Below are 18,724 nucleotides of genomic sequence, written 5' to 3' on the forward strand. Positions count from 1 at the left end.
CCCATCTCTACAAAAAATACAAAACTTAGCCGGGCATGATGGTGTGTACCTGTAGTCCCAGCTACTGGGGAGACCAAGGCGGGAGGATTGATTGAGTCCAGGTGGTCAGGGCTAGAGTGAGCAGTGATTGTGCCACTGTACTCCAGCCTGAGTGACAAAGTGAGACCCTGTTTCAAAAAAAAAAAAAGAAGAAGAAGCCCATACTAACTAAACTATTGCAACTCTGGCACATGGATTCGCAGGCTAATGAAACAGAATATGGCCTAGATATAGACTTAATGCATAAGAAAATGTAGTATATAATAAATGAGGTATTCTTGAAATTTTTTTTAAAAATGAATAGATAAATAAGAATTGTGTCAGAACAAGTGATTAGCTCCTGGAGGAGAAAAATAGAGCTGGATTCCCTATTTAACTCCTTGCACCAAAAAAAATTCTGGATGGATGAAATATTTACTGTTTAAATATTTAATAAGTGTATACACAGGAGGGTGTCTTAATATTTAATCTTGGTGTGAGGAAGACCTCTCTAAGCAATCTACCAACATCAGAACCCAAAACAGAAGGCCAGGGAGTGAGACTATCAGAAGATCATGTTTCCTTGAAAGGAAAGCTTACCGGGCTGTGCTCCAGAGTGATGGGCAGAAAGTAGGGAAGTAGCACTTAGGGATGGCACTAGACACTCTAACCATTTCCTACACACCCAAGACCCTCCTCTTCTTTGAAATCTACCCACACTCATTCTCCTCTAAAAAGGCCAGCCCATGTACCATGTGACCTGCCGCCACTAGCTGACACAGCTAATTGGACTGGAGGTGGACACCTGACCCAGGCTGAGTCAGTTTCTTCCCCAGGAATTCGGATATGGAACCCTGAGAATTTCTTTCCTCTAAAAAAGATCCATACATGACTCAGTATCAATCAGATTAGCTCTAAGGAGACAAGCTGTAAGGTAATGGAGGCTTGGGGGCCAGAGCGGGCTCCAAGACACCCATAAATGTGAGTGAGCAAGACCCAGGAAGCCGGTGTGAAGTGCACTGGAGTGCAGCAGAGAAAAGAGAGAACACCCTGTTCCAAGGCCTTGCCGAGAGCTCACTGAGCCTCAGAGGGACAGCAAGACTGGAGAAGCCAAGCAGGTGACTGTCTTATTCTCAGGAAGATCTTTTCCTGGAGATTCCCCCCACGACCCTTCAATAAGCCCTCTTTCCACCTGAGTTGTTTGGGCTGTTCATCTTCCTGGCAAATCCCTGATTCCCGATGAAGATGCAGCTCATAAGGCATGGATCCATTGTCAAGAACAGTGTAATAAGCAGGAAGGAACAAAGCAGAGGTAAGAGGAACCCATCTGCGAGGGACGAGACCCAGCTGCTGTCTCTGTTCTGTTTGAGAGGGATGTGAGCCAGCCATGAAAGCACAACCTGGGAAAACAGAACCATGGAAAACAACACTCAGTCACTCAGAGATTATGGAAGGGAAGAAGTCTGTGTTGGGAAGCCTGGTAAAGGAAAAAACCCTCAGAAGCAGCAAATGTGGGACAAAATGTCCCATGGTGCTTCTGTTTATTTTCAAGGGAGTAGACAAAGCGGAGAAACAGAGTGATGTTCAGCCCTTCAACGATTTTTATGAGGGCTGAACGAGTCAAGCCAGGTAGCTTGAAAGTGGCTGCCTCGCAGGTACAAAGACCCAGAATCCTCTGATTCCAGGAGGGAGAGCAGCTCCGCCGACTTTTCACAACCTTATATTGTTTCTCTGATTTTGATTTCTTCCTCCCTGAGGGGAAGTTTGAAGTGAGAAGCACAATAAAAGGAATCACCCTCACGTTTGAAGCCTCCTCTCTCCCTACTTAATGATAGTGCTGAGCTGGAGCTACTGGGCAGAAGTTGAGCCTTTTATAAAAATAGAATCCAACTTCACTGATCTCAATTTGGAGAATGGAGGCTCTTCTTGAAAAACTGTTTTTGGTTTTGTTTCTTAACAAGTCCAAAAGTACAAATCAGCCTAGGGCCACAGCCAGAAAGTGAAGAGTTGAGCCTCAAAGAAATAAGGAAAATTGAAACTAAGAGACATCAACAGGTCATGGGCCACCGTCATTTCTTTTTTCTTTTTTACTTTTTGGGATGGAGTCTCGCTCTGTCGCCTAGGCTGGAGTGCAGTGGCATGATCTCAAATCACTGCAACCTCCGCCTCCCAGGTTCAAGCAATTCTCCTGCCTCAATCTCCTGAGTAGCTGGGATTACAGGCACCTGCCACCACGCCCAGGTAATTTTTGTATTTTTAGTAGAGATGGGGTGTCACCATGCTGGCCAGGTTGGTCTCGAACTCCTGACCTTGTGATCTGCCCACCTCGGCCTCAAAGTGCTGGGATTACAGGCGTGAGCCACCACGCCTGGCCCCACTGTCATTTCTGTTGTAACTTTAGTAGTAGTGAGACTGTGTCAGTTGGTTATGTCTCCGCAGCCATGAATCTGAGCTGAAAAGCAACTTTAATTCCTGCTGATGATTGAGGTGAATGGGGGAGCAAGTGTCTTCCTTTTTACATACCTATCCAAGATATCAGACATGGCCTCGTCCTCCCCCTGGTATTAGAAGCATAGGCAGGAGAGCACTATATATATATATACTCTTGAGGAATGAGCTCTTGAGATAAAGCCCATCCCTCTAATTCTATTTGTGGCTAAATAACATCCCTAGATAGTAATTATACAGTTTTTCCACCTTAAATTTCCCCTCTTTCTCTCATTTCAAGCTGGTTCTTAGGATACATGGCAAGAGAGAAAGAAGACGTGTATTAGTCCATTTGCATTGCTATGAAGGAATACCTGACACTGAATAATTTATAAAGAAAAGAGGTTTACTTTGACTCACAGTTCTGCAGGCTATCCAGAAAATGTTGTGTGGGCATCTTCTTCTGGTGAGGCCTCAGGAAGATTACAATAATGGCAGAAGGCAAGGGGAAACAGCATATCACATGGTGAGAGAGGGAGCAAGAAAGAGAGAAAAAAAAAAACAAAAGAAGCAAGAGAGAGAGGCAGCGGATTCTTTTCAGCAACCAGATCTCACATGAACTCATTACCAAGTGGAGAGCACCAAGCCATTCATGAGGGATCCACCCCATTACCCAAACACCTCCCATCAGGCCCCATCTCCAACACCAGTAATCACATTTCAACATGAGATTTGGAAGGGACAAACATCCAAACTATATCAATACATAAGCCATAGGATCACTGTGTTTGTTCCCAAAATCCACAACCAGAATTAGGGTGAGGTGAGTGAGGCACTATCCTCAGTTGCAAATTTTTTTTTCAGACTGGATCAGGCTCTGTTGCCCAGGCTGGAGTGTAGTGGCATGATCTCAGCTCACTGCAACCTTCACCTCCCAGGGTCAAGCCATCCTCCCACCTCAGCCTCCCGAGTAGCTGGGACTATAGGCACATGCCACCATGCCTGGCTAATTTTTTACTTTTTTATAGAGATGAGGTCTCACTAAGTTTCCCAGGCTGGTCCCAAACTCCTGAGCTTAAGCAATCCTCCTGCCTCAGCCTCCCAAAGTGTTAGGATTACAGATGGGAGCCACTGCACCTAGCCTCCTCAGCTGCAAAATTTAAGGAGCTACCAAAACACTCAGTAATCAAGATAAGTAATTTTTTCATGCAATAGTTTAGAAAAACAAAATAGATACCAAAAGAAATCTGATTTTTGAGGCACAGACTTAAATGTAGCGGGTGAGGAGGATACCTGATCCACCTCACCTGATCCCAGCCCTGCCCAGAGTAGGATTTGGAGGTCTGTGGAGCATGTAGGAAGAGAGAAAGGGGTTTACAGACAGAAAAGAAGAAAAGGTTCTTCCGAAATCATACAAAGAGAGCCTTCCTAGCTCAAGGAAATTGAGAAAAAGAATTCTATAGGCTCTGGAAACCCCGGGAACCAAGTGGTGACACTGCAAGGGGTCAGGACGGCAAGGAGGAATCATCAGTGTGGCCATGGAAAGAGGGCCACGGGCAGTTGTACAGAGTATTCTTTGGCCCTAGAGTGACAAGGAAGCAGCAGGGAACCACTGGGCAGGGACGGTGAGTGAGTCAGTAGTAACCCCAGGGGAACTAGTGACTAAAGGATGCACCCCATGACTTAGCACTTCATAAGATGCAGGGACTGCAGTCCAATGTGAAGTGACAGCTAAGATCACCGCCTGCTGGCCAGCAGGATGGAGGTACACACTGAAAACATAATTAGATTTACAGAAAATAAAATTAGGCAATAATTGTTGCATACCTGTGGCTTCAGACAAATTTTAACACCTGCTGTATCCAGATAGGGAAACCAAGGTCAATGGGCTAATTAAGCAGCTTGAATTAAGACTGCATGAATCTATATTTGCTGGAAAAACATAAAAATTTAAACATGTCAGTTAAAAATGACATCCGAGGTTTAGGAAGAATTCCTATTTAAATCATACTTTCTGTTTCCAGAGTTACCTCCGTGATGCTCATGCATAAATCTCTCACTGTCAAATGCCTGGGAGCCTTGGTGATGACTGACAGGAAATGAGAGCAATCTGAGAGCCATCTGTCTTCCCCTAACCTCACCTCCCACCAAAGTTCTTTTGGGAAGTTAGAGTTGAGAATGTATAGAGCATGCTTCTTTCTATCAGATCAGGAGAGAGCCCAAGATCTCACAAGTGAAATTTACTTTCAGATCATGATGAAGTTATTGGCTTCCTGTTGACATAAATTACACAGGTACCACAATAGAAGACACATCATTTTCTCTTTGCTGAATGGCTTTTCTAATAGCAGCTGGATTTCTCAATGTAATTTTTCTTAAGGTCAAGTTTTCCTCTCTGAGTATATTCAGAGATATGAAACTTGTCAGAACAAATCTAGATATATCTTTATGTTCTTTTATTATTTGATTCCAAGATTCTATCAGGAAGATAGACATGGAAAAAAAATAATATACCATTAACAACAAAATAAATATCTGATGCTACTCTGTACAGTACCTGTGTAAACAGAAAGAATACAACCCAAGGGAAAGAGAGAAATTTCCACTATTTATCTCAACTACCATTGCTTTCTGGAAAATAACTACAGGGTTTTCACCACAATATATTTCCAGATTCTAGGATGTCGTCACTGTAAGATACACCCTAGGGTTAATACGGTCTTTCAAGGTGAAAAGGAAACAATATTAAGCATTCATCAACAGTAAAATGCACTCCAATTGAAGGAATTCTAAAATGTGAAAAAATATTCATTCAGTTAAGGAAAAACAGCAATGGAGATTCTATCTCAGAAACTCAGCCATTAGTATCTGCCATAGAGGAATGACCCTGGGGATTTTACATCGGGACTAATGGCAGGATGCTAAAACTTAGGATCAAGATACAGGAATGGAGAGACGTGAGTTTTCCAGGTTTCCTAGGCAGGGTGGCAAGGAGAGAAGATCCACAGCCTTTGATAATTATGAGTTCAGATCTCAGCTCTGCCAGTTATGACATGTGTGACTTAGAGCCTCAGTTCCCTCACTGATACATTGGGAATTGCTTCATGCATACAACAAATATTTATTGTGAGCCTACATTTTTCTAGGCATTGACAATACAAAAGGAACAAGACAGAGAAGATTCCTTCCTGTCCTCCTGAAGCTTACATTCTGAAAGGGGGTGGTGGGGAGCAAACAGGTAGACAAACAAAATAAACGAGATTATTTCAGAGGCTGAGGAGTGCACTGGAGGAAACGAAACAAGGGGATGGGACAGCATCTGAGGGAGGCCGCCTCTCAGGGGAGGCAGTATTTGTGCTGAGACCTCAAAGAGCTGGAGGAAAATCATTCTAGAGAAAGGAAATGATCAGTACAAAGGCCCCAAAAGGAGATGGCTGTGTTTGAGAAGCCACAGAAGCATCTGTGGGACTACAGCAGAGCTAGCATGTGGAGAGGGTTGGAGATGAAATCATTGAGGTAGGGAGAGCCAGGCCATTTTTCTCCTCTAGGCCACGGTGAGGAGGTAGCCTGAGTTCTAAAATGTAATGGAAAGCCATCTTAAGCTGAGGACGACATGATTAAATTTCTGTTTAAAATTCACTCTAATGATGGTCATTCATGCAAGAGATGCTGGGGTGGGATAATAACACCTATACAATGAGGTTGTTTGAGGATTCTCTGAGAAAATGTCAAGGACCTGGCATATACTGGAAGCTTGCCTGGCTTGAAACAGGACAGAAGTGGCAGGGAGTTCATACACCAAGAGAAACTCTCAAAGAACAAAGGACAGTAGTTGGTGGATACAACTCCAGTTTTCTTGCCCAGTATGAGACAGTTCTGAAGTGTGTTCAAGAGCGCTCTCAGTGGACGTGAGCTCCAGTTGCCCACAGCGGCCCTCACACGTGAATGCACTCTTTCTTGGCCTTCCTCTCTTCCTGGACTCATTTCCCCATTTCTTCTCCACACTTCTTGGTTTTGCCTCCCAAATAAACTATCCACCTATGTCCTTGTCTCAGGGTCTGCTTGGGAGAACCCCGTGTCCCCAGATTTCTCCAGGTAGGCTCAGCTTCCTCCCACTCTGGCCAGCAGCATCCAGCACCACCTGGGTGAGCTGCTCTCCACTCCTCAGCACAGCTATAGAGCTGGACCCTCGTTACTCACACAGGCCCAGCCAGTCTTGCTCACACACTGGAACTCATTCTAATCCCTCTTTTGAATAAAGAAAACCAGAATTATTTCTGCAAACCCTCTGAGTTTGCTGGTACCCTGGATTACATGGCTAAAAGCTTCCTCAAAGCCAGCAGGGTGCACTCACTCAGAGAGCCCTGGACCCAGAGCCGATCTGTGCCCTGGTCCTCTGGGATCAGCCTCAGTCTGGGCAGCCAAGCATTAGGCAGGTCCATTCCAGTCAAGAGGGGCTAGATGGTCCCCAAGCTCAGTGGCCTCCTGCTCATTCTCACTGGCTATGAGAAAGTCACAGGCTGGTTTCCCTGGGAAGCAGACACTGAAAGAGAGGCATGTGTGCAGGAAGTTTACTGGGGACTGTTCTGTGTCAGCACTTGCTGGGGAAGAAGGTATGAATAGCGTGGGACTGAGCAGAAGAAGGAGCTAACTGTGGTCTAGTTGAAACCAAGGCCATGTCTGATCCCACATGGAGCTACAGCATGGCCCTGTGAGCTGTCCTGAGTTGAAGCAAGGGGACTGGACCTTTTTAACCCAGATCAACCTGTTATCGGATGTGAGCTTCCCTGGAGAAAGATATGACTGAGTGAGGAGACTCAATTCAGCCCAGGGCAGGATCAGAATAGTGGGTGCTTCAGGGATCAATAAGGCAACCAGAGCCTCCACATCAGTGTCATGAGTTTTCAGGGGAAGAGAGAATCAGAAACTCCCGTGCCACCTGGAGCAGGTAAGAAACACAAAGCTGTTGCCTTATGATTGCCCAACTCAAGAGGCACTGGAGCCAAGCCCTAGAAAGAACACAAGTCACTTGACAGTCACCCCTGGGGCTTCTCCACTGGAAGTGTCCCCCTTGGAAGGACCAACCATGACTCCTAAGCCACCTCCACATTCACCATCAACTCCCAACAAATCTGTAGGTGATTGGGTTGCATGTGATGCCCCTGGCCCCACAGTACTGGCCACTGGTTTCAAACACAGCCTTCCAGGTCTCATGAAGTGGAAGGACTGGGGCTGGAGTTAAAGGAGCCTCTAGAAAAAGTACCTCTGTTGCAGAAAGGAGTCTTTTTAGTATTGCTTATCCATGGGTATTTGGGATCTGGCCTTGCAGGATCAGACACAGAGCAGAGGCCGGGAACGGAAGGGATGGTGCCACTCTGCACTGCAGGGCTTATCTGGCAGCTGGCATTTTTTGTAAACCAAGTGATGACAGGCAAGTCAGGTTATTTCTCTGAGCCTCAGTCTCCCCATCTGTAAAGCAGGGCTGAGAATCATAGCCAGTGGTGCCATTGTTCTGGGTGGAAATGAGATACACACTGGAATTCACTCCAAGAGCTATATATTAAGTGCTACACAATTGTCAAAGTTTTGAACACAGCTTTGTTGTAATAACAACACAGCTTCTGTGTTATTTCTCAATTATGTTCAAATATTATCATTTGAGTAATAAAAAGCAAAACCATGTGGTAAACCATGAGAGAAAAGAAGCTTTCATCACTCTTTATGGGAGGATAAATTAAAAAATCAAGTTGGCAATATCTGATCAAGTTGGAGATTTTCTATCTAAGAAAAGAAATTCTCCTACACATGTGCAAAGGATGCATATAGGATGGATGGTAAATACAGCATGTTTGTAAGAATAAATAATTACTGAGAAACAGCCTAAACGTCCAATGGAAGAGAAACTAAGAAAGTTTAGTGGACAGATCCAAGCAACACTGAGGAAGTAAATCAATGGGGAGGGACTGATTCAGGAGTCAGAGAGTGAGGTATCAAGGGTGATGCCTGTGTTTTGAACTTGCTGAACAACACCATTCCCTGAGATAGGGAGAAATAGAGGAAGGACAGGTTTGGAGGTGATAATTGTGCATTCTGCTGTAGAGGAACCTCTGATGGCTGTGCAGGGATATGTTCTGTAGGCAGTTGGAAAGGTGGGCCTAGAACTTAGAGAAGCCTTGGATGGAAACATAACTGGGGGCAGGGAAGGAGAAGCTCATCTGCAAATAGACAGTGAGTGTAAATGAAGTTGCCAGGTGAAATAGAGTGAAAATAGAGTCTAGGACTGAACTTTGAGGACCTGCAACTATATTTTTAACAACTTTATTGAGGTATAATTGACACACAATAAACTGCACATAACAAAAGTGTACAATTTGGTAAGTTTTGACATATATACCCCCATAAATCCATTATTACATTCAAGAAAATGAACACGTCCCTCTTCCCCAAAGTTACCAAGTGTTCCCTTGCAATCCTTCTGTCCCTCCTCTCCCCATTTCCATCTCCAGCAAACCCCCTGATCACTTTCTGTCACTATAGATTCACTTGTATTTTCTGGAATAGTATGTAAATGAAATAATCAAAATGTAGTCTTTTTTTTCTTCTTTCATTCAGCCTAATTCTTTGGCAGTCCATCCATGTTGTTCGTGTATGAATAGTTCATCCCTTTTTTGTGGCTGTTATTCATTGTGTGGATATACAATCTGTTTATCCATGCACCAAATCATGCCCATTCAAGATGTTTCCACTTTGGGGCTACTACAAATAAAGCACCTATAAATATTGTGAAGTCTTCATAGGACATATGCTTGAATTTCTGCTGGGTAAACATCTAGAAGTGGAATATCATATGGTAGGTACATGTTTAACTTTTAAAGGAACTACCAAACCATTCTCCAAAGGAGAAGTCCCATTTTATACTCCCAGCAGCAATGTACGGGAAGTTCCAGTCACTCTGCATCCTCGCTAGTAGTTGGTAAGGTCAGTCTTCTCATTTTAGCCATTTAATTTTAGCTATTCTAATGGGTGTATAGTGATATTTCATTGTGATTTTAATTTGCATTTCCCTAGCCACTAAGGATGCAACTACAGCTTTTAGCAACTGGAAGAAGACTGAATCTATACAAGAGATCCAAAGGTATAGGAGAAAAAAAAACCAGAAAAATGTGACATCATGGTAGTCAACAGGAGAAATTATTCAAAGAGAAAGTGGTCAATAGGGTCAAGTGATGCTAATTTGAGGATTGAAAATTCTCTTTTGGATTTAGTGAAATGAAGGTTACTGGTGTCTTTATCAAAATATGTTCTAGTAGCAACTGAATCCAGCTTCCAGCCTCTTTCACGTGTTCAGAATGAGTCCCATTACACTGCCTGCTGGGCAGCACCCACTCCTCAGGGGTCTGAGTCCCTGCTCCACAGGGCCCCTTCTCCAAGCTTCTGAGGTTAAAGCACCAGCTGGTACTTCTTTGATGTGGTTTCAAGTTTCTAGGGGGTGTCAACGGTTTGGTTTCCCGAGAAGCCAACTCTAAAATCCAGATTAGCATCCAAAAGGCTTATTAGGGAGTGGTCTCAGGATCATTACCTCTGGAAGGGAAAGGAAAGAAGCAGGATTGGGCAAGGGAGAAAGTGGGCTATGATGCAGTCTCAACCAACAGTTCAGCCAACCCCCATGGGCAGGTCCGTAGTTGGATGGCCCTTCAGTATTGTCCCTGTTTGGGACAAAGGAGCTGAGCCACCATACCCTACAGGGACTAGTCATTTGATATAGCCTGCTTCAGGAGGGAGCTGAAAGGTGTCTCTTCCAGTGGAGGGTAATTCCTGTAGAGGGCTGAAAGCTGAGAGCCATCATCCAGCAGCACCCCAAGGAGCTTATTCCCTTCAGTCTTGGAGGACCTGAGTGGCATACTACAGTGTCCACTACAAGAAATTTCTCCTTCAATAGGTTCTAATAACCCCAACTTCTTCCCTTGGTTCTCCAAAGAACAGGAGCCACTTCCTGCAGTTACTATCTCTAAATTATACCAGAGCCTCCTTTGTGCTTCTTCCATTTTCCAAAACCTGATTAAGCAATTCCTTATGTTGAATTCTCTAGTACTATTCCGGTTTTCCTAACTAACACACGCCTCCGCCCAGATGGCTCCAAAACTGTTAGGGAAGGTAGACGTGAAAAAGCCACACTCTTGACTAGATTTTGTGGCCTACTAACCAGGTCATTCATAATCTAGGAAGGTCAATTTGGGAAATATTAGGATATGTCTTGCTGTCAGCTCACACAGACTCCCAGAATCATCTGCAAAGACCAATATTTCAGCACAGAAATCTGGAATGTGTCCTGGGTGTATGCCCTGCAGGTAGGAATGTGCTTGAACTCTGAGCTCCTTCGAGCCCCAGTGTAATCCATTTACTGCATTTCTGACATATTAATGTACTAAATGGCTCCCTCGTGATCTGAAAATGTTAACACGGTCACAGCCTGAGCGCCTGACTTCACATAGAAATGACTCAGGCTCAGGGATAATTGGGGCTGAAAAGCAGTATAACGGTATTGCAGGAGCAAGAATGATTCAATGGTTTGTTTTTTTTCTTTCCATGTCTCAGACTGCACCAAAACTGATTTTTGGTAAGACTGAAATGCAAGAGACCAAGATTAGTGCATCCTAAATAAACAGGTCTTGTCAACTAATCAAGTGTCCTTCACATCTATATGTAGTCATATCAGCTTCAGGAGATATGCCTGAACTATAATTCATTTTTGAATTTTTGTGCTGTCATCACCAGCACAAAGAAGTAATCAGAATACAGGCCCACTTCTGTTATTCAGAGCACATTTTATTAACACAGAAAGACCACAATGCACCTTATTAATCTCACAGGGGGAGTTTAGACCCTGGTAAGCACCACTCCTGTAGTACAGAATAAACTTGGTTACAAAGGGGAAGCAAAACACATCATTATTACCAAAATTCCTCACTGATGACAATGCTTACCCCCCAAAAATGTATTAAAGGCTTTAAATATACAAATCTAAAAATATGTTGTGACATTTAACATTGACTTAATTTTTTTAATATGCTTTAAAATATACTCAGTGTCTCTCCCTCTGATTCACCAATTATGTGAAGAAGCCTCTTTCATTGTTTTTCTCTCAAACTTCTATCCTTTTCTCTGTCCTTGAGCAGAACTGGGGGCTGGACAGATTCCCAAGGTGGTGACTATGATACCTGCTCCACAACCCTCTTGTGCTGGCTCCGGAAGTGACCCTCGCTGCTGGGGGACACCTGCTTCTGTCGTTTCACTGTATTGGTCTTGCCAGCTGTTTCGATCCAGGGGTGCTGAAGAACCTGATGAGCTGTGTAGCGCTTTTTGGGGTCTACCACCAGCAACCGGCTCACCAGATCTTTAGCAGCTGTTGGAATGAGAGAAGGGGAAAATGTGATGAATGCAGGTGGTTCTGAATTTTTCTTCCCCACACATGAAATAAGAACATAAACATTCACGTCAGCACCACGGCTGGCTGAAAGCCTCCTTCATATTCTAGAGCAGCACAGTCCAATAGAAGACAGGAACATTCTCTATCTGCACTATCTACCTGCGATTATTGAGCATTTGAAATCTGGCGTGTGAAACTGAGGAAGTGAATATTTATATGATTTACTTTGAGTTAATTTACATTTGCATTTAAATAGCCACGTGTGGCAGCAGGGAGGGGGGTTACCATGTTGGACAGCACAGCTCGAGAGGACGTTCCTTCATTTCTCTGGAATCGCAGGGCCAGACCCACTCTTAACATCCCTGGCACTCAGGGCAAAGGAACAAATGGAGAACACATGCTATACATCTACATACTTTAAGGTTTCAAATCGAAACTAACACATTGTTAAATAAAATATGTTCAATCTTTCCAAGTCAATACATATGCCTTCACATTGACAAAACTGAAAACCGTGTAAAGAAATCTAAAAAGTAAATAGTGCAAATTCAAAAATAATTTTATTTTCTGCCCAAGACCATGACTGATTTTAGAGAAATGAGGGCCCAACTGGTGGGCCCAGCAGCAGGCAGAAAGCAGAAGAGATTTCCCCCTGGCTTGCTGGCTCTCCCAGCCTGGCTCATTGAGACTGCTCTTCCAATCACTCAAGATATGCACAAGAAGAAAACATCCACTTTTTGTTGTTGTTATTTTTTGCCTTTATTGAAGGCTGTCTCTTACTCAAGACCAGCTGCTTACCCACCAATCACCGCTCCCCTCCCCCGATGTCCAGCCACCTCCTGAGCACAGAAGGCCCAGATTCCTCCTACACCACCCAATTCAAGCTGGGAAAATTCTGCCCCAAAAAGCCCCAGCCCCACCACTGCCACATCACTCCCTCAGGGTCCTCAAATGACTCAGAGGCTGGAAGGCCAGATTTAAGTTGAGAATCCTCAGACTCTTGTGTACAAGTGTGGACAACCAGACACCCCAGGCAACATGTCCAAGCTCTGTCTAACCCCTCCAGATGGCCACTCCTTGGCCACTTTATGGCATAGTGGGAAGAGGCTGGAAAGAGGTCTCACAAACCTTGGATGTGGGCTTGGGCCATTTGGACAGGGAATTCAGGGGCCCTAAGGAAGTGATCTAGAAGAGGGGACCTGGGCTCTGGGGGCACATCCCCTAGGCCCCATACTCTCCTCACTCTGTAGAGAAGGGTGTGACTACAGCAGGGCCCAGGACAGGGGCCACCCATGCCCAAATCTAAGGAGTGCTGCATAGAACTTTCTAAAATGATTTTTAGTCCCTCAATTCCCAGTTGCCACTGCCTTGTCAGCTCAAGATCCTCATCTACTGTGACAAGCCACCCTCTCCCTACCTTATTTAAAGGGGGGAAAATGAAGATTTTCCCTTCCCTCATCCTCCAATCCCAGTGAGGAAATAGAGGCTAGGGATGGAGGCAGTTCAATAACTAAAATTCAATAGCATGTTTAGGGAAAATTGAAAAACAAAATGTTATCACTCCTATTCTACTTTATTTTTATTTTTATTTTGAACCAGGGTCTCTGTCACCCAGGCTGGAGTGTGGTGGCACAATCATAGCTCACTGCAGCCTCAAACTCCTGGGCTTAAGTGGTCCTCCTGCCTCAGCCTCCAGAGCAACTGGGACCACCCCTGGCTAATTTGTTTCATTTTTTGTAGAGAAGGGGTATCGCCAGTTGCCCAGGCTGGTCTCAAACTCCTGGTCTCAAGCAATCCTCCCACCTGGGCCTCCCAAAGTGCTAGGATTATAGGTATGAGCCACCACACCCAGCCTCCTATTCTACTTTTTAAGCTAAAGACTCAAAATCCCCAATTATCTAGTTCCCAGTTTTACAAGGACAGTGAGTAGTACAGACAAATCAGTAGAGACAAGGGGAAGGATTTCATTTGGAATCAAATGGAACAGAGGGCCAAAAGCAGGGAGGACCATGCATGCTCCAAGTCACTAAAAAATAACTGAGATCTTCATTGCAGAGCCCCTGTGCTTCAAGTGTGCTGCTATAGGACCCTTGATTATGCATGTGTAAAATAAGCATTTTCAGTCTGTTCCATTCACAAACACTTCTGCATATAAGATGGCCTTTCTCTTTCCAAAGGGGAGTTACAATGTTTCTGATATTTTTCTGTTCTGAGGTTCTTGAATTGCCTTAAGGAAAAGTACTTGGTGACTGTAACTGGTGGTTGGGCTTTTTCACTAAATCTGAAAGCAAGCCATGTTTTCAGAGTGCTACACAAACCTACATGAAGCTACTGAGGAAGTAAAGGCTGAGACATGACATGTTGACAGTCCAACTCTGCACCAGGCACAGTGGTGGGTCCTCTACACATCTGACCTGAAAAACCCATCCGCTCCTCTGCTGTGTGAGGAAGCCCCAAATCTCACCATCAGAGATATTGTCCCAGTAAGGGGGGAGGAACTCAAAGTGGCCCAGCTGGATGATGTTAAAGAGCTCGTCCTGGTCCCTCTCAGGGCTGCGGAATGGGGGAAAGCCACACAGCAGGATATAGAGGATCACGCCAGCAGCCCACATGTCCACCTCCAGTCCATAACCTGCGCAGACAGAGGCAGAGACACAAGCAAACCTGAGACCAGGCAGGGTCAAAGGTGATGAAATAAATGATGGAGTATTGTGGTTCTAAATAGATCTAAGTCATAGAGGATCCCAGCTCTCAGCAACCAAGAGCCACTTCCAAACACAGCTCCCTGCTAACTCCTATACATAAGGACTCTACACCATCATTACTCAAAGTGTGGTCCATGGATCACTGCCACTTTGCAATGCCTTATTACTGGTCTGTAATAGAATGAGCAGAGAAATTGAAAGCAAGTGTTTGGAAACTCTTATAGCAATTTAACAAGACTGTGACGCTCAGTTGCATGATTGAAGGGCACATCTTGTTGAACAGCACATACATCAGTTCAGGCGTTGTCAAACACATGTAGTGAGTCACATGTGGCATGAGATGTGTTCTAGTCACATGCAGCAGGACCGTGAGTCCACACTGTACTGGAAACTTTAAAACTTGACCCTTCACTGGAGGTAGTTAGAGAAGCCCCAGTCTACACTAGCAATCTCTGCTTCCTATATATCCATTGTCTTCTCTCTCACTTAAAAAATATCATTTACTGGCTTTTTAAATGATTTTTAAAAGACTGATGTTTACTAGCTGTATCCCCATGTGTGCACACACTGGTATACAACACACACACACACGCGCACACACCTATATAGAGACATGTATACTTTTCTAAATAAAATGTTTATTTACTTTTCTAAATAAAAATAGGATCACATTGCACCTATACTCTATTTTATTTACTGAATATTATACAATGACATTTCCAACATAAGAATTTCCTATGAAAAATACCAAAAATATTTTTTACAAAAATGATTTCTAATAACTATTAGTATCCCCTTTACATAATAAATCCCTATGTTGTAATTTAAGTTTTTACTAATTTTTTTACAGCTGTAAGGAATTTTCTGATGAGCATTTATTAAATATTTGTGCACATGTCTGATTATATTCCTAAAATAACCTTCCAGCAATGAAATAGACAAAGCAATATACAGTAAAGGTTTTTGATACATATTACACATTGTCCTCCCAAAACTTATCACAGCAATATAGACATTTTCAAACACTTTCTAACTAACTTTTTACAGTTAGAAAAAGAAAACACTTGACCACTGTAATTTAGAAGTTAGATATTCATAATTAAGCCCCAGAGTAAGTTTGTCAAAATACAAATCTGCAGGAAAATATTAAAAGAATAAGTCACTAATGACCTCTTTTGGTCTTTTCTCAGTTCTCAACCATCTCACTGTTGAGAGGGATTGATTTTCCTGGACCTCATCAATCCTAGAAATGTCCCTTGGCCTCTGTGACAATGCACTTTTCAGATCCTCTCTGGGCTGCTCAGCCTTTTCTCTGCTGATCCCTCCTTCCTTCTCTCATCCCTGAGCTCTTGGCCTCCTCAAGAATCTGTCCTTGGCTCTCATTCCTGGCATCACCAAGGAGCCCATTATCAACCATCTCTGTGTTGAGGAGTCTCAAAGCCACATGTTCAGCTCACAGCTTCACCTCCTTGCCAAGTGGACAACTCCATTATCCATCCTGATATCGCTACAAAGTCAGTGTATTCAAAATTAAACTCAGCCCATCCCCCTATCTCCCAAAAGAGCTATCCTTTCCAACACCCTGTTTTAGTTGGTGCTACCACCAATATGTGGTTTTCCCAAGAGTTTGTGTTGCCTATTTGCTTTCTTTTCTTCTCTTATCCAGTTCATCGATGCCACACCAAGTCTAAACATCTCTAACCAGTCTTCCCATTTGTGGAGAATTTAAGCTCAACCTACCCAACTGATACGGTTTGGATATTTGTCCCCTCCAAATCTCATGTTGAAATGTGATTCCCAATGTTGGAGGTGGGGCCTGGCGGGAAGTGATTAGATCATGGGGGTGGATCCTTCATGAATGGTTTAGTACCATCCCCTTGGTGACAAGTGAGTTCTCACTCAGGTAGTTCACTTAGGATCTGGTTGTTTAGAAGTCTGGGACCTCCCTCTCTCTCTCTTGCTCCCAGTCCCACCATGTAACATGCCGGTTCCCTGTCACCTTCCACCATGAGTGTAAGCTTCTTAAGCCCTTATCAGAAGCAGAGCAGATGGCTGGCACCATGCTTGTACAGCCTGCAGAACCCTGAACCAACTAAACCTCTTTTCTTTATAAATTACCCAGCCTTCGTTATTTCTATAGCAACAGAAAAACCTGACTAATATACCAACCAATTGTGTTTCTCTCTGGTCCATTGAGGCTAGTCTTCTCCATGTCTCTAACACCTGACCTCATGCATGTTGTCATCTCCTCATCTTTTTTTTTTTTTTTTTGAGATGAAGTTTCACTCTTGTTGCCCAGGCTGGAGTGCAATGGCACGATCTTGGCTCACTGCAAACTCCACCTCCCCGGTTCAAGCAATTCTCCTGCCTCAGCCTCCCGAGTAGCTCAGATTACAGGCATGTGCCACCACGCCCAGCTAATTTTTTTGTAGTTTTAGTACAGACAGGGTTTCACCATGTTGGCCAGGATGGTTTCAAATGCCTGACCTCAGGTGATCCACCTGCCTCAGCCTCCCAAAGAGCTGGGATTACAGGCATGAGCCACCATCCCTGGCCATCTCCTCATCTTAATTATCCTGATGCTTCTGCTGCTGGGAAACTATCCGTCCATCCCTTCTCCCTGTCACCAACCCTGCAACCCAATGAGAGTCTTCCCATCTTACCAATGGTGGGTAAATTGGTTTCTCCTGGAGTGCCACAGTAGTCAAATAGTCATTCATATATTTAGAGCCATATCATAACTATTATTTCCTTTTTAAATGTTTTAGAAAGTTTGTCACTAAAACAGCTCATTGGATCCTTGCATAATATACAAGTAGGTAATAAATATTCATAGAGTTCATGGAGGAAAATGGGATCCTTTTCCTTTAAATGCAAGGTTGGTGAAGAAATTTTTAAACCAAGTACCATAAGGACTGCTTCAATTCTCTCCTATTAGAGATAGCCTTGGGTCAAGTAGCCTTGCTTGCTTGAGTTCCCCACCCAATTCTCCATCATCTTTCATCTCACTGTCCTGCCTAAACACAATAAACACACACACACACACACACACATGCACACACACTGATCCATTGACTGTAACAAGGGCAGCCCTAATGAGGAGAAAGCTCTCATGCTTTGGTCAAGCCTACTTCAAATATTTTCATTGAAGTCCAAATCCAAGCCTAAGTGTCAGTTCTCTGAGATTTATTCCATATTGAAAACTAGTAAATATGACAAATGAAACATTTGTTAGTAAGGGAACTAGAGTCCCACAGATCGATGTGTAACACTTACCTTTCTCAGAAAGAATTTCGGGAGCTACGTAAGTTGGGGTCCCACACACAGTAAATATAGGTCTCACCACATGCTTTGCAAGTCCAAAATCAGCCAATTTCAAGGTAGTAGATTTGTCCTCATTTCGCTGAACCTGTAAGAAACCAAAATCCCCAAACCACCAAAATTGTGATTAGAACAAAGAAGGGATACTAATGAAACAACAGCCATGCAAGGTCAAGAAAAGCAAACCATAAACCTATATGAGATTACAGCTTAGCCCAACACTGACAAAGCTAACTTGACCTCAATGACAAGGGCTCACATTTTCAACTTAAGAACCAATGAGTTAGATTTACTAGGCCGTCCAATATGGTAGCACCATATTGTCACAAGTGGCTACTTAAGTTTATTAAGTAAAATTAAATTTAAAATTTAGCTTCTCAGCTGCATTAGGCACATTTCAAGTGCTCAAAAGCCACTTGTGGCTTGTGGCTACTATATTGGGAAACACAGATAGACACACTTCCATTGTTGCAGAAAGGGCTATTAGACAGCATTGACTTAGAACAAGGATCAAGGATACTTTGAGCACAGACTAGCTTTCATGAGCATTAGAAAATGCCTCTGGGCAATGCAGAGGCTGGGCAGAGGGAAAAAAGAAAGGAAAAAGACTGGGAATTAAAATGAAGAAGTATGGGGCAGGGGTGAGGGGGAGATAGGGACGGTTAATTGGTACAAAAAGAATACTTAGAAAGAATGAATATGACCTATTATTTGATAGAAAAACAGGGTGACTATAGTCAATGATAATTCAATTGTACATTTTTAAATAACTAAAAGGGTATAATTGGATTGCTTGTATTAGGTTGGTGCAAAAGTAATCACACAA

At 43.5% G+C, this 18,724-nt stretch overlaps 1 protein-coding gene across 3 annotated transcripts in view; it reads right to left on the reverse strand.

Annotated features, from left to right (window-relative positions):
• Positions 1-8,747: 8,747 nt before the first annotated feature.
• DCLK3 (doublecortin like kinase 3) overlaps positions 8,748-18,724 on the reverse strand; it is a 52,133-nt gene continuing 42,156 nt past the window's right edge. Inside the window, exons 3-5 of one of the 3 annotated variants that reach the window (NM_001394672.2) lie at positions 17,854-17,986; positions 14,337-14,504; positions 8,748-11,848 (exon numbers count right to left, since the gene is read on the reverse strand). In NM_001394672.2, the coding sequence (NP_001381601.1) occupies positions 11,655-11,848; positions 14,337-14,504; positions 17,854-17,986 (495 nt within the window). In that variant the 3' untranslated portion in view covers positions 8,748-11,654. The remainder of the gene's footprint in view (positions 11,849-14,336; positions 14,505-17,853; positions 17,987-18,724) is intronic. The other 2 variants (NM_033403.1, XM_047449090.1) reach the window with 2 other exon arrangements.

The sequence above is a fragment of the Homo sapiens genome, chromosome 3 (genome assembly GCF_000001405.40).
Source record: "Homo sapiens chromosome 3, GRCh38.p14 Primary Assembly".
In the NCBI taxonomy this organism is placed as follows: domain Eukaryota; kingdom Metazoa; phylum Chordata; class Mammalia; order Primates; family Hominidae; genus Homo; species Homo sapiens.